The sequence below is a fragment of the Homo sapiens genome, chromosome 16, assembly GCF_000001405.40.
Source record: "Homo sapiens chromosome 16, GRCh38.p14 Primary Assembly".
Classification (NCBI taxonomy): Eukaryota; Metazoa; Chordata; class Mammalia; order Primates; family Hominidae; genus Homo; species Homo sapiens.
This window is the reverse complement of record NC_000016.10, coordinates 1,841,393-1,855,567: the sequence shown is the minus strand read 5'-3', so window position 1 is coordinate 1,855,567 and position 14,175 is coordinate 1,841,393. Positions and strand designations below refer to the sequence as shown.

General features: G+C 43.4%; 1 protein-coding gene across 2 annotated transcripts in view; it reads left to right on the top strand.

Annotated features, from left to right (window-relative positions):
- MEIOB (meiosis specific with OB-fold) overlaps positions 1 to 14,175 on the top strand; it is a 38,179-nt gene that overhangs the window by 16,597 nt on the left and 7,407 nt on the right. For both annotated transcript variants that reach the window (NM_152764.3, NM_001163560.3), the window contains exons 7-11: positions 1,368 to 1,468; positions 2,297 to 2,349; positions 2,434 to 2,529; positions 10,605 to 10,706; positions 13,595 to 13,748. In NM_152764.3, coding sequence (NP_689977.2) covers positions 1,368 to 1,468; positions 2,297 to 2,349; positions 2,434 to 2,529; positions 10,605 to 10,706; positions 13,595 to 13,748 — 506 coding nt within the window. The remainder of the gene's footprint in view (positions 1 to 1,367; positions 1,469 to 2,296; positions 2,350 to 2,433; positions 2,530 to 10,604; positions 10,707 to 13,594; positions 13,749 to 14,175) is intronic.

The window sequence follows — 14,175 nt, the reverse complement described above, 5'->3', positions numbered from 1 at the left end:
AGCTTTCCCACCCCCTCAGTGAGTCTGGAACCTTTCATGTGTCACGTCACTTCTTCTCATGCCTTTCATCTCCCCTTTGGCTTTCAGCCCTCTTACATTTTCTTTTCTTCATACTTTTTTTTTCTTTTTGAGATGGAGTCTTGCTCTGTCACCCAGGCTGGAGTGCAGAGTGCAGTGGCGTGATCTTGGCTCACTGCAACCTCCACCTCCCGGGTTCAAGCAATTCTCCTGCCTCAGCCTCCCGAGTAGCCAGGACTACAGGCGTGTACCACCATGCCCAGCTAATTTTTGTATTTTTAGTAGAGACAAGGTTTCACCATATTGGCCAGGCTAGTCTTGAACTCCTGACCTCGTGATTCACCCACCTCGGCCTCCCAAAGTGCTGGGATTACAGGCGTGAGCCACCCCTCCCGGCCACTCTTCACACTTTCATTTAACCTGTTGTTTCTTCCTCTCACCCCCACTGGCGTTTCACTTTAAAACTCCTTTTTAATACAGTGTTCTCCACCTTCCCAACCCCAGATGTTAGGCTGACCTCTCAGCCTCTGGCTGTCCTTTCTAGGTCCCTTTCTCTGGGCACCACAGATGCAGTGGTGGCAGAGGTGGGGGTGGCCAGTGACTGTCCATGCTGGGCCTGCTGCTGTGCATCTCTCAGAGGTGCCTGCCGTTCCCACATGAGAAGCCACTGGGTGGAGAGAAGGGTCCTAGTTTCAACTCTTCTTTTTTTTTTTTTTTAACTTGCTTTAATGGGCAAGAGGATTTCCACTTCTTTGATCATCTTACCCCACAATGGACAGAATTGGACAGTGTCAAAGTTTCCTGTGTATCTCGCATGTGGCTCTCACCATGGTAGCCCTGTGGAGAAGGCAAAGGACATATCCTATATTTGTTTGTTTCCTGTGGACACTTTTTATACCACAGATATGCTGTATTTGATGTTCACTAAGAAGACGGAGGTGCTGAGCCCCAGAGAGCCTGAGTTCATTCAGTCACATGAGTTCCACGCTGAGCCATGGGGATACAAAGGTGCTGGAAACACAGTCCCTGCCCTCGAGGAGTCCACGTAGATGCCCCAGAGGGGCCTGTCATGGAGCTTTGTTGTGACATGTTAAAAAGACTTTCAGTCTCTACTTCAAGCACCTGTCTCCCTGTGTCTCTTCAAAGTGTTGTGTGACTTACAACTTCAGCTACGTACATGTAGTTTAGAGATAGATGCTTTAAAATAATCAACTATATATTACTGGTTCTTGCTAGTTTAATATTTCTAATTTGGTGTTTAAAAGGTGAACATTTGAGTATTTTCATCAACAAATACTTAAGAACTTCTACATATAGGTGAAGAGTAATGATTTATTTCCATTTCTAAGGTTGGAGAGCCAAAATACTTTACAACTTCAGACCGGAGAAAAGGCCAGAGGTGTGAAGTTAGACTCTATGATGAAACAGAGTCGTCTTTTGCGATGACATGGTAAACACCGATGTCTGTTCCAAACTGTGAAATCCCTGTAGTTATCACCAGGACATTTTCATTTTATCAAAAATATGATGGACTTCATATCAAGAGAGGATAATGATAGGAGATGAATGATATTTTAAAAAATAAATCTCACTCTTGAATGTTGAGTTGTTATGGATACCACCTTAAAATGAGGTCTTTAGATGGCATGGAATTGCTTAGGGGGACTCCACCGTGCCCAGTTTTATTATTGAATTCTGTCGTGTAACAAATGATGTTTTATTAGGTCCCATGGAACAAGCCAGAGTTTCCCTCTGTGCTTCCTGGGAAGTATCCTGGAGCAGGGCAGGACACAGGGGCACGTGGGCCAGGGTGGGGACTGCACCCTGAAGCACTGCCAGGTACAACAAGGCATTGTCTAGACCTCTGATGCCTGGGTACCAAAGGAACTGATTTCAAAAATGTCTTCAACCCATCAAGGCCCCTGAGCAGTTTATCCACTGGGGGACACTCACCTTCATGGTCTGAAAGTGTGAGTTTAAAGTCTTCAGGCTTTAGTTCTAACTAGCCTGGAGTGATTAAGTGTTGGAAAAATAAATTAAGAATTGGCAGAGCAGAGTATTACTAGAGGAGAGTGTGTGTTGAAGGAATGTTCTCTCATGGAGTTGTTAAATTCTCCCTAGGAGGAAGCTGGCATGCTTAAGACTAGGAGGTCTTTGACCACCTTGGGGATGGCTGACCCCAGCCACTGAAGCTTTCTTTTATTGTTGTAAATAATATGTCACTATCAGTTTTTTCTAGTGTATTCAATTTGTATTACTTCTTTTTAAACAAATGCAGTTGGGATAATGAATCCATTCTACTTGCACAGAGCTGGATGCCACGAGAAACAGGTATTATCATTCAATGATTGTGTCCAATATTTGTCATTTATATCCTCCCATGTAATAATTTTAAATGGCTTTTTTCCCAAACAGTAATATTTGCCTCAGATGTAAGAATAAATTTTGACAAATTTCGGAACTGCATGACAGCAACTGTAATCTCAAAAACCATTATTACAACTAATCCAGGTAAAAAACTTTGTGAAACCTTTTATCCCTTTGGAAATGACTGAACACATTTCAATATTTATACAGTATATTTAAGAATGAAAATTCAGCCTGGATTTAATTCAAATTAGAAGTAAAAATTGCTTTATATAACTTTTTTAAAAACTTACAATGAACTTTGATATCTTTACTAAAGAAATGTGAGGTCGGACGTGGTGGCTCATGCCTGTAATCCCAGCACTTTGGGAGGCCAAGGCAGGTGGATCACCTGAGGTCAGGAGTTCAAGACCAGACTGGCCAACATGGTGAAACCCAGTCTCTACTAAAAATATAAAAATTAGCTGGGCTTGGTGGTGGGCGCCTGTAATCCCAGCTACTCGGGAGACTGAGGCAGGAGAATCACTTGAACCCAGGAGGCAGAAATTGCAGTGAGCTGAAATCGCGCCATTGTACTCCAGCCTAGGCCACAAGAGCAAGACCCCGTCTTAAAAAAAAAACAAGGCTGGCGCGGTGGCTCACACCTGTAATTCCAGCACTTTGGGAGGCCAAGGTGGGCTGCTCACGAGGTCAAGAGATTGAGACCATCCTGGCCAACATGGTGAAACCCTGTTTCTACTAAAAATAGAAAAATTAGCCGAGCGTAAAAGTGTGCGCCTGTAGTACCAGCTACTCGGGAAGCTAAGGCAGGAGAATCACTTCAACCCAGGAGGTGGAGGTTGCAGTGAGCCGAGATTGCACCACTGCGCTCCAGCCTGGCGACAGAGCGAGACTCCGTCTCAAAAAAAAAAAAAAAAAAAAAAAAAAAGTGAAAAACCAGATTAATTTTAAAGTATAATTCATTGTGATAATTTTTGAGAGATCGATTTTATTGCTTGGATGCTAAATTATTGACTAATAGGTAAATTCAGTTTTGCTACATTCAAATAACTTTTACTGCTAGGACATTGATAACACATGCATGCGTGCACACAGTACTCTCTGTGTAGTATCATTAGCTCATAACTGCACATTAAATGCCCAGATGATCCCCTGGAGTGGTTGTTGAAGGAGTTACAGTTTATTACAGCATGAAATCAAGGAAGCCAGATTGGGGAGATGAGGGATTAGTGCCTGTGAGCATTCCCAGGGTGCTTTATAGTGCAGACATAACCGTCAAGCCAGTACTGCTAAAGAAATGGAGTAATCAATCCTTTGCCATCTCATGAAGCTATGAGTACAGTATGTAGTGTATCATTTAAAACATACGCTCACGCTGCTGGTCTGTAACAAAGCATCAGCAGTGACAGAATTATAAAGCAATGTGTGCTTTTGACCAAACCATTATCAGCATTTTTAAAAGATAGAATTACTATGAGGAATGGTGTAAAATACTGAGACTCTGGTTTTTATATGAGTACTCTGAATCTTGCACATCCAACACATGGATGTTGTCTCCTTGAAGGCAGCACCATGGGAGGAGATGTGCATGCCCCGAATTGCTCTTCACTGAACTAATTTACTGAGCATGTGCTGTATGCTGGGTGCTGTTCTGGGGTGCAACGACAAAATGGATAAATATTTCCACCCTCATGGAGTTTACCCTCCAGCAGGGAGAGACAGAGAATAAATAATGAAGATAATATGTCCGTGAATTATGAAATATTTAAGGAGAACAGGTGGAACAGAGTCAGGAGGACCTAGAGAGCCACAAGGTGGTCGGGCACGCTGCATGGGAGAGTGACGTTTGAGCAAAGACTTGATGAGGAGGCTAAAGGGATAACCAAGGGAAAGCCCTGTGCCTATGTGTGGGAGGAACACCCAGGGGCTGGTGTGGCTGGAGCCCAGGAGTTCAAGGCCAGCAGGAGCTGTTCTGAGAAGAGATGGGGCACCCAGGAAGAAGGCCTCGGAGGCTGTTAGAGTGCACTGGCTTCTGCTCTGGATGGGGTAGCAGGCTGGGGTTTGGAGCAGAGCGGTGACAGCATCTGACTCGGCTCTGAGAGGTTTGCTCTGACTGCTCTGTTGGAAATTGATGGTGACACACGATAGTCTATTATCAACACTTAGGACAACAGTGCAACACTCTTCAGTTTTTTCTTTCCTGGAGGGAGGTACTATGTATGGTTTATTTATTTTAATTTAATTTTATTTATTTTATTTTTTTTGAGACAGTCTCACTCTGTTGCCCAGGCTGGAGTGCAGTGGCGTGATCTCGGCTCACTGCAAGCTCCGCCTCCCGGGTTCACGCCATTCTCCTGCCTCAGCCTCCCGAGTAGCTGGGACTACAGGCGCCCGCCACCATGCCTGGCTAATTTTTTGTATTTTTTATTAGAGATGGGGTTTCACTGTGTTAACCAGGATGGTCTCAATCTCCTGACCGTGTGATCTGCCTGCCTCAGCCTCCCAAAGTGCTGGGATTACAGGTGTGAGCCACTGCACCTGGCCTATGTATGGTTTATTATTAGAAATAACTTATTAATAAAAATAGTTTATTATTCTTTTTTTTTTTTAAATGGAGTCTTGCTCTGTCCCCAGGCTGGAGTGCAGTGGCACAATCTCGGCTCACTGCAGCCTCCGCCTCCTGGGTTCAAGCGATTCTCCTGTTCCAGCCTCCTGGGTTGGTTGCCCAGGTGCCCGCTACCATGCCCAGCTAATTTTTATGCTTTTAGTAGAGACGGGGTTTCACCATATTGGCCAGGCTGGTCTTGAACTTCTGGGCTCCAGTGATCCGCCCGCCTCGGCCTCCCAAAGTGCTGGGATTACAGGCATGAGCCACCACGCCCGGCCTGTTATTTTTACATTTAGTAATACCAGTGATAGTAAAATCTTCATCCTCTAAGGGCAAATTTGAGCTGGAAAAGTTTCTAAAAGACAGATTTGTCTGATGGAAAAGATGATCAAGCTTGACTGTACAATGGTATAAAAAACTCAAGATCTCATTAATGAGACAGATATTATAGGATGTTGTGCATTTGGCTCTGATGACAGATTCAAAGAAAAAAATGTCAAAGTATTTTGAGCAATAACCAACATCATTAGAAAAAATGCCATCTTTCTCAAGGAGACACATTTTTAAAATTTATTATTTATTGCTTAACTTTTTAATTGACAAAAAATTGAATACATTTTATACACTATGTTGTTTTGAAATATGTATACATTACAGAATGGCTAAATCAAGCTAATTAACATATGTGCTACTTCACATACTTATCATTTTTTTTGTGGTGAGAACACGTAAAATCTGTTCTCAGTACTTTTCAAGAATGTCATACGTTGTTACTGATCATAGCTACTACGTTGTACAGCAGATCTAGATTTCTTGGATTTATTCTGTCAAGGAAACAGATTTAAAGGAGAATACTCGCGAGAATGCACGAATTTGTGTGCTTGTTTATATCAGCTTTACTTTTTTTTTTAGTTTTACTTTAAGTTCTGGCATACATGTGCCGAACATGCAGGTTTGTTACATAGGTATACATGTCCCATGATGGTTTGCTACATCTATCAACCTGTCATCTAGGTGTTTTTTTTTTTTGAGACGGAGTCTCACTCTGTCACCCAGGCTGGAGTGCAGTGGCGCGATCTTGGCTCACTGCAAGCTTCGCCTCCCGGGTTCACAGCATTCTCCTGCCTCAGCCTCCCGAGTAGCTGGGACGACAGGTGCCCGCCACCACACCCAGCTAATTTTTTTGTATTTTTTAGTAGAGACGGGGTTTCACCATGTTAGCCAGGATGGTCTTGATCTCGTGATCTGCCTGCCTTGGCCTCCCAAAGTGCTGGGATTACAAGTGTGAGCCACCGCGCCCAGCCTTTTTTGTATTTTTAGTAGACATGGGGTTTCACCATGTTGGCCAGGATGGTCTTGATTTCTTGACCTCGTGATCCACCCACCTTGGCCTCCCAAAGTGTTGGGATTACAGGTGTGAGCCACTGTGCCCAGCCTAATTTTTGTACTTTTCGTAGAGACGGGGTTTTGCAGTGTTTCTCAGGCTGGTCTCAAACTGCTGGGCTCAAGTGATCCACTGGTCTTGGCCTCCCAAAGTGCTGGGATTACAGGCCTGAGCCACCATGCCCCACCTGAGCATCTTATATACCTTTTGCCTATCTGATGGGAGCTTATGACCCTCTCCCCTGAGAAGTGCTATTCCCATGTGTAGAATTTGCATAAACTGTCATATTCCTGGACCCGAAATCCATGAAGCCTAGGCTGAGGCTCTTCTTTTAAAAGGATTTTGCCGGCCAGGCGCAGTGGCTCATGCCTGTAATCCCAACACTTTGGGAGGCCGAGGTGGGCGGATCACTTGAGGTTAGGAGTTCAAGACCAGCCCGGTCAACATGGTGAAATATCATCTCTACTAAAAATACAAAAATTAGCCGGGCGTGGTGGTATGGTGCCTATAGTCCCAGCTACTAGGGAGGCTAAGGCAGGAGGATCGCTTCAGCCGGGGAGGTGGATGTTGTAGTGAGTCGAGATCATGCCACTGCATCCCAGCCTGGGCAACAGAGTGAGACTCTGTCTCCAAAAAAAAAAAAAAAGGAAAAAAAAAAAAAGGAGAAGGGATAAGATGATAGGATTCTCCTTATTGCTATTGCTGGCTTATGCCAGACATGCGGGAGGGACCAGGAGGAAAAGAGGGAAGTTTTAGATCACTCCCTGAAGGCATGTTCTGTAACATAGTTCTAGGAGATGAGTTACCTAGTTATCATAGATGATGCTTAATTCACCTGAAGAGATGAAGAGAGTAACAATGGAATTTAGCATGAAATAATGTATTCTGCAAGCCACATTACATTGTGTGGAAGAGGAATTTTGCTATTGCTTTTGTGGAGGATATTTAATGTGTTTAATATCAGTAGCAGTCACTGATAGAAAAAGATACTACTGGATCAAAATTTATCATCTTTTTGCCTACAAGAAGGGACAAGCCATAAGTGAGACTCCATCTCTACAAAAAATTAAAAAAAAATAGCTGGGCATGGTGGCGCGTGCCTGTGATCTCAGCTACTCAGGAGGCTGAGATAGGAGGACCGCTTGAACCCTGGAGGTAGAGACTGCAGTGAGCTGTGTTCATGCCACTGCACTGCAGCCTCGGTGACAGAGCAAGACCCTGTCTCAAAAAATAATAATAATAATAAAATAAAGCCATGATTGTTACTTTGGAAACATTTTTTAAAATGTTGGCATTATCATTTGTAGATAATGCCATTTCAGGAAACTTGAGAGAGCACACAGGCATTCAGCGAGCTGTGAGGTAAACTTGATAGAGTGTATTTCAGTCCCTGCCCTGCCACACAACCCTAAAACGGGGACAGGAATGATAGTGTCTACAGCCGTTTTTAGGCTACTCAAGGGCAGCCCGATTTATATGGGAACTTTGTTTTCTGATCAGTAGGTCATATTAAAGTAATCACAAAGTAGTTCCTTCTTTCTCTCTCTTTCTTTCTCTGTTTTTTCTTTCTCCCCTCCCCTCCCCTCCCCTCTTCTCTTTTCTTCTTTTTTTTGGGGGGTCTCAAACTCCTGACCTCAAGAAATCCTCCTGCCTCAGCCTCCTGAAGGATTACAGGTGTGAGCCACCTTGCTTGGCCCTAAAATAGGCTTTTTTTGTTTGTTTGTTTTTTGAGATGGAGTCTTGCTGTGTCACCTAGGCTGGAGTGCAGTGGCATGTGCTCAGCTCACTGCAACCTCCGCCTCCAGGGTTCAAGCAATTCTCCTGTCTCAGCCCCCCAAGTAGCTGGGATTACAGGCGCGCACCACCACACATGGCTAATTTTTACATTTTTAGTAGAGACGGGGTTTCACAATGTTGGCCAGCCTGGTCTTGAACTCCTGACCTCAGGTGATCCACCTGCCTCAGCCTCCCACAGTTCTGGGATTACAGGCGTGAGCCACAGCGCCCGGCCCAAAAATAGCTTTTTCTCTTTTTTTGAAATGGAGTCTTGCTATGTCGCCCAGGCTGGAGTGCAGTGGCGTGATCTCGGCTTACTGCAGTCTCTGCCTCCTGGGTTCAAGTTATTCCCCTGCCTGAGCCTCCTGAGTAGCTGGGACTACAGGTGTGTGCCACCATGCCTGGCTAATTTTTTGTATTTTAGTAGAGACGGGGTTTCACCATGTTGGCCAGGATGGTCTTGATCTCCTGACCTCGTGATCCGCCCGCCTCACCCTCCCAAAGTGCTGGGATTATAGGCGTGAACCACCACGCCCAGCCCATCATCTAGGTTTTAAGCCCCACATGCATTAGCTATTTGTCCTGATGCTCTCCCTCCCCTCACCCCCCATTCCCCAACAGGCCCCAGTGTGTGTTGTTCCCCTCCCTGTGTCCATGTTATCTCATTGTTCAGCTCCCACTTATGAGTGAGAACATATGGTATTTGGCTTTCTGTTCCTGTGTTAGTTTGCTGAGAATGGCGGCTTTCAGCTTTATCCATGTCTCTGCAAAGGACATGATCTCATTCCTTTTTATGGTTGCATTGTATTCCATGGTATACATGTACCACATTTTCTTTATCCAGTCTACCACTGATGGTCATTTGGGCTGGTTCCATGTCTTTGCTATTGTAAATAGTTATATCAGTTTTACTTTTAATTTCCTGGGCTACACCTGCCTTATAGAAATTAAGAAGCTCTAAATGGCTTGTGTTCATCCTAGCCAGGTGTCCAGATTCCCTTGTTTCTTTCTCTGCCCTGAGAGTGCTTATCAGATAGGGAGGGCACAATTCCTGCCTTTCTCTGACAGTCAGGATAACGCTATTGTCAGTGAGGACCTGCAGTGCTGGTACCCACCCATCCCTGCCAGCCCCCATCACAGGAAGCTCATTGGCTGGATTTCTGTGGCCTCACTCCAGCAGATGTTCCCATCTGAAGCACAGCAATTCATGATGCATATCTCTCCAAGTTAATAGAGTTCTGCATTCATTCATTCGCCCATGACCTTATCAGTATTTTTGAATGCCTTTTACTTGCCAAGAATTGAGATAATATACATTTCTGGAACAAGGAAGGAGATGAGTGGCTGGTCAGATGGATGTGAGGATAGTCATCACGTGGGACACTGCGTGCTGGCAAGGATTTGACAACCTAGTTCTGAGAAAGAACAGGTAGGAGACTTGTATTCTGGGAGCAAGGAGGAAGAAATGCCCAGATCTTCCCAGGGGAGTTAGGAAGTACAGACATTGTCAGGACAATTTGTAAAATATTCAGGGGGGCCTGGGGTACTTAATCATATGCCGGAGGCTGGGGTCCTGGGGTCCAAGGGCATCATGGGGGAGCTCTTTCCAAACTCGCGTTCCTGCCTTCTGGCACAGCACCCCTGACCCTTGAGCACACTCATGTGCCAATGTGGGGAGCTAGGCTTTTTATAGAGCCTATTTTATATATTTCAATTGCCTTTTGAAAACCTTTTTTTTATGATAAGTAAAGAAATACGTATAAAATTCAGAAAAAATATATAGAAACATAAACAAGGAAAACAAAGATCACCTACAATCCCACTGTCTAGAGAGAATCATTTTTTCGTATATATTCTTCCAGATAATTTTGCATTTATATATGTATTTTTTTTTTTAGACAGAGTCTTGCTCTGTTGCCCAGGCTGGAGTGCAGTGGCGCTATCTCAGTTTACTGCAAGCTCCACCTCCCAGGTTCATGCCAGTCTCCTGCCTCAGCCTCCCAACTAGCTGGGACTACAGGCGCCCACCACCACGCCTGGTTAATTTTTTTGTATTTTTAGTAGAGGTGGGGTGTCACCATGTTAGCCAGGATGGTCTCCATCTCCTGACCTTGTGATTCACCTGCTTCAGCCTCCCAAAGTGCTGGGATTACAGGCGTGAGCCACTGCGCCCGGTCCCTTATATATGTAGATTTTTTAATTAAAAGGGTATTGAACCACATAGGTTAGTAAGCTGCTCTTTTCACTAACATCTGTTTTAGATGTAATGTGGTGTACATCTCTCTATGTTTACAGAATTCTACATCACATTGTTAATGGCCACGTAATATTCTATTTGATTGTATTCTTACATGTCTTCACTTTTTACTATTAAAATGATTTTGGATGATTTAAATGTGATTTAAATGATAATCAGTTTGCTTTTTACTTATTATGCATTTTCAATTTAAGATATACCAGAAGCTAACATTCTGCTGAATTTTATACGAGAAAATAAAGAAACGAATGTTCTGGATGATGAAATTGACAGTTATTTCAAAGAATCCATAAATTGTAAGTGACCGTTTAAATATATTTGGATTTTTTTAAAGGCCGAAATTGGGCCTGTAAAGGTTTGTTTGACATGGTAAAAGATACCAGATTCCTATTCTGTAACTACTATATTTCTACTTTCTAAAGGTAGCTTAAAATAGTGGGCATCTTTTTCTTTTTCTTTTGAGCCCAGGAGTTCATGAGACCAGCCTGGCCAACATGGCAAAACGCCGTCTCTACTAAAAACACAAAAATTAGCCAGGTATCATGGGATGTGCCTGTAATCCCAGCTGCTCAGGAGGCTGAGGCAGGAGAATCCCTTGAACCTGGGAGGTGGAGGTTGCAGTGAGCTGAGATCCAGCCTGGGTGACAGAGCGAGGCTACACTCCAGCCTGGGTGTCAGAACAAGACTGTATCTCAAAAAATAAAAAAATAAAAGAAACACAATACAGAATGCTTGGCCAGGTGTGGTAGCTCACGCCTGTAATCCCAGCACTTTGGGAAACCAAGGTGGAGGGATCACTTGAGGTCAGGAGTTTGAGACCAGCCTGGCCAACATGGTGAAATCCCGTCTCTACTAAAAATACAAAAAATGAGCCAGGCATGGTAGGGGGCACCTGTAATCCCAGATACTCAGGAGGCTGAGGCAGGAGAATTGCTTGAACCCAGGAGGCGGAGGTTGCAGTGAGCCAAGATCACACCACTGTACTCCAGTCTGGGCAACAGAGCGAGACCCCGTCTCAAAAAAAAAAAAAAAAAAGAAACATAATACAGAATGCAACAAAGAGCCCCAAATAGTTATTTGGTTAACATCTTTTAATCTATCTTTTTGTGCATATATACTAATAGAAGGATAAAGACATAAAAATATTATAGATAAATAGATACACATCACCATCTTTTTATTGAAGAAAATTAAATTTCATGCACTAGACATCAACAAAAGAAAAGAAACCAATGAAGTGCTGAAGGAACCGGATAAGTTCTCATAAAAGTTTTCTAACCCAAGTAATATTAGTTCCTGGAAGATTCTTCTAAGATAAAGAAAAATAAAAATGAATAATAGGTTATTGTCTTTAGTTTTGTAAAGTTTATTTTTGTTGTTGCTTCACATCCTCACTAATGTTGTGTTATTACTCTTTTAAATGTTAGGTGTTTAGTGGAATTCTCTTTTTTTTTTTTTTTGAGATGGAGTCTGGCTCTGTCACCCAGGCTGGGATGCAAAGCCGCGATCTCGGTTGAGTGCAACCTCCACCTCCTGGGTTCAAGCGATTCTCCTTCCTTAGCCTCCCAAGTAGCTGGGATTACGGGCACACACTGCTACACCCAGCTAATTTTTTATTTTTAGTAGAGACAGGGTTTTGCTATGTTGGCCAGGCTGGTCTCAAACCCCTGACCTCAAGCGATCGACCAGTCTCAACCTCTCAAAGTGTTAGAATTACAGGCATGAGCCACCACATCCGGCCTACTCTTGTTTAATTTGTATTTTCCTGATGATTATTGAGGCCCAGTACGTGTATTGGCCATTTTGATAACTTTTGTTTTGTGATGTACTTTATTTATTTATTATTTTTTTTTATTTTATTTTTTGAGATGGAGTCTCGCTCTGTCGCCCGGGTTGGAGTGCAGTGGCGCGATCTCGGCTCACTGCAAGCTCCGCCTCCCGGGTTCACGCCATTCTCCTGCCTCAGCCTCTGGAGTAGGTGGGACGACAGGCGCCCACCCCACGCCCGGCTAATTCTTTGTATTTTTAGTAGAGACAGGGTTTCACCATGTTAGCCAGGATGGTCGCGATCTCCTGACCTCGTGATCCACCTGCCTCGGCTTCCCAAAGTGCTAGGATTACAGGCGTGAGCCACTGCGCCTGGCTGTGTGATGTACTTTTAAATTCTCTTCCCCATTTAAAAAATTGAGTCAGTGTCGCCGGGCGCGGTGGCTCACGCCTGTAATCCCAGCACTTTGGGAGGCCGAGGCGGGCGGATCACGAGGTCAGGAGATGGAAACCATCCTGGCTAACACGGTGAAAACCCGTCTCTACTAAAAATACAAAAAAAAATTAGCCGTGGTGGCGGGCGCCCGTAGTGCCAGCTACTCGGGAGGCTGAGGCAGGAGAATGGCATGAACCTGGGAGGCGGAGCTTGCAGTGAGCCGAGATCGCGCCACTGCACTACCGCCTGGGCGACAGAGTGAGACTCTGTCTCAAAAAATAAAAAATAAAAATGAAAATAATAATAAAAAAAATCGAGTCACTGTCTTTTTGAGATGGAGTTTTGCTCTTGTTGCCCAGACTGGAGTGCAATGGCGCCATCTTGGCTCACCACAACCTCCACTTCCTGGATTCAAGCGATTCTCCTGCCTTAGCCTCCTGAGTAGCTGGGATTACAGGCATGCACCACCATGCCTGGCTAATTTTTTTTTTTTTTTTTTTTAAGTAGAGACAGTGTTTCTCCATGTTGGTCAGGCTGCTCTCGATCTCCCAACCTCAGGTGATCTGCCCACCTCGACCTCCCAAATTGCTGGGATTACAGGCATGAGCCACTGTGCCCAGCTGAGTCACTGTCTTTTTCTAATTGATATTTAAGAATTCTTTAGATAATTCTGGATGAGTCCTTTATCTCATTGTAGACTGCTAGCATCTCCCACTCTGTGGCTTGCCTTTTCACTTTTTAATGGTGTCTTTTGATGAACAGAAATTCTTCATTTTAATGAAGACTAATTTCATTTCCTTTTTTTCCTTATGTTTTGCTTTTATGTCCATTTATAGAATCAGTGTTTATATAGCCAACATAGTAATTTTTCTGTTACTTAAGCTACTGCATGTTCTCATTTGTCATAGCTTTCCATTCGGATGTAACCTTTTATATTTTTTAGAATATATACAGAACTGTAATACTTCTTTCTGTTTTTAGTAAGTACAATAGTTGATGTCTACACAGTTGAACAATTAAAGGGAAAAGCTTTGAAGAATGAAGGAAAAGCTGATCCTTCCTATGGCATCCTTTATGCCTACATTTCCACACTCAACATTGATGATGAAACTACAAAAGTAGTTCGAAATAGATGGTAAGGATCCGTGTCACTTTTAGCAAATTCATTTTTGTAAGAAATAATTATTGTTAATAAATTTTAAGCTCTCTAAAAGTTAAAGCTGTTTGTTGATGTAACAGGGGTTATGTATTGGAGATAAATGTGTAAAAAACTGTACTGAAAAGTTTCCATAGCAAACCAGATTAAAATATTATAATTGCCTTTTAAAATATAATCTGTATTTCCATAATTCTAACATATAAAGATATAATGTGAGAAACTTTTGACAAACTTGTCTAATGATTTGGCAGAAAGCTATTTTGGTTGCTAGGCCCTATAGCAATGTAGTGACAGCATTAAAAAAAAATTATTTTCAAGCCAGGTGCAGTAGCATGCGCCTGTAGTCTCAGCTACTCAGGAGGCTGAGGTGGGAGGATCGGTTGAGCCCAGGAGTTTGAAGAGT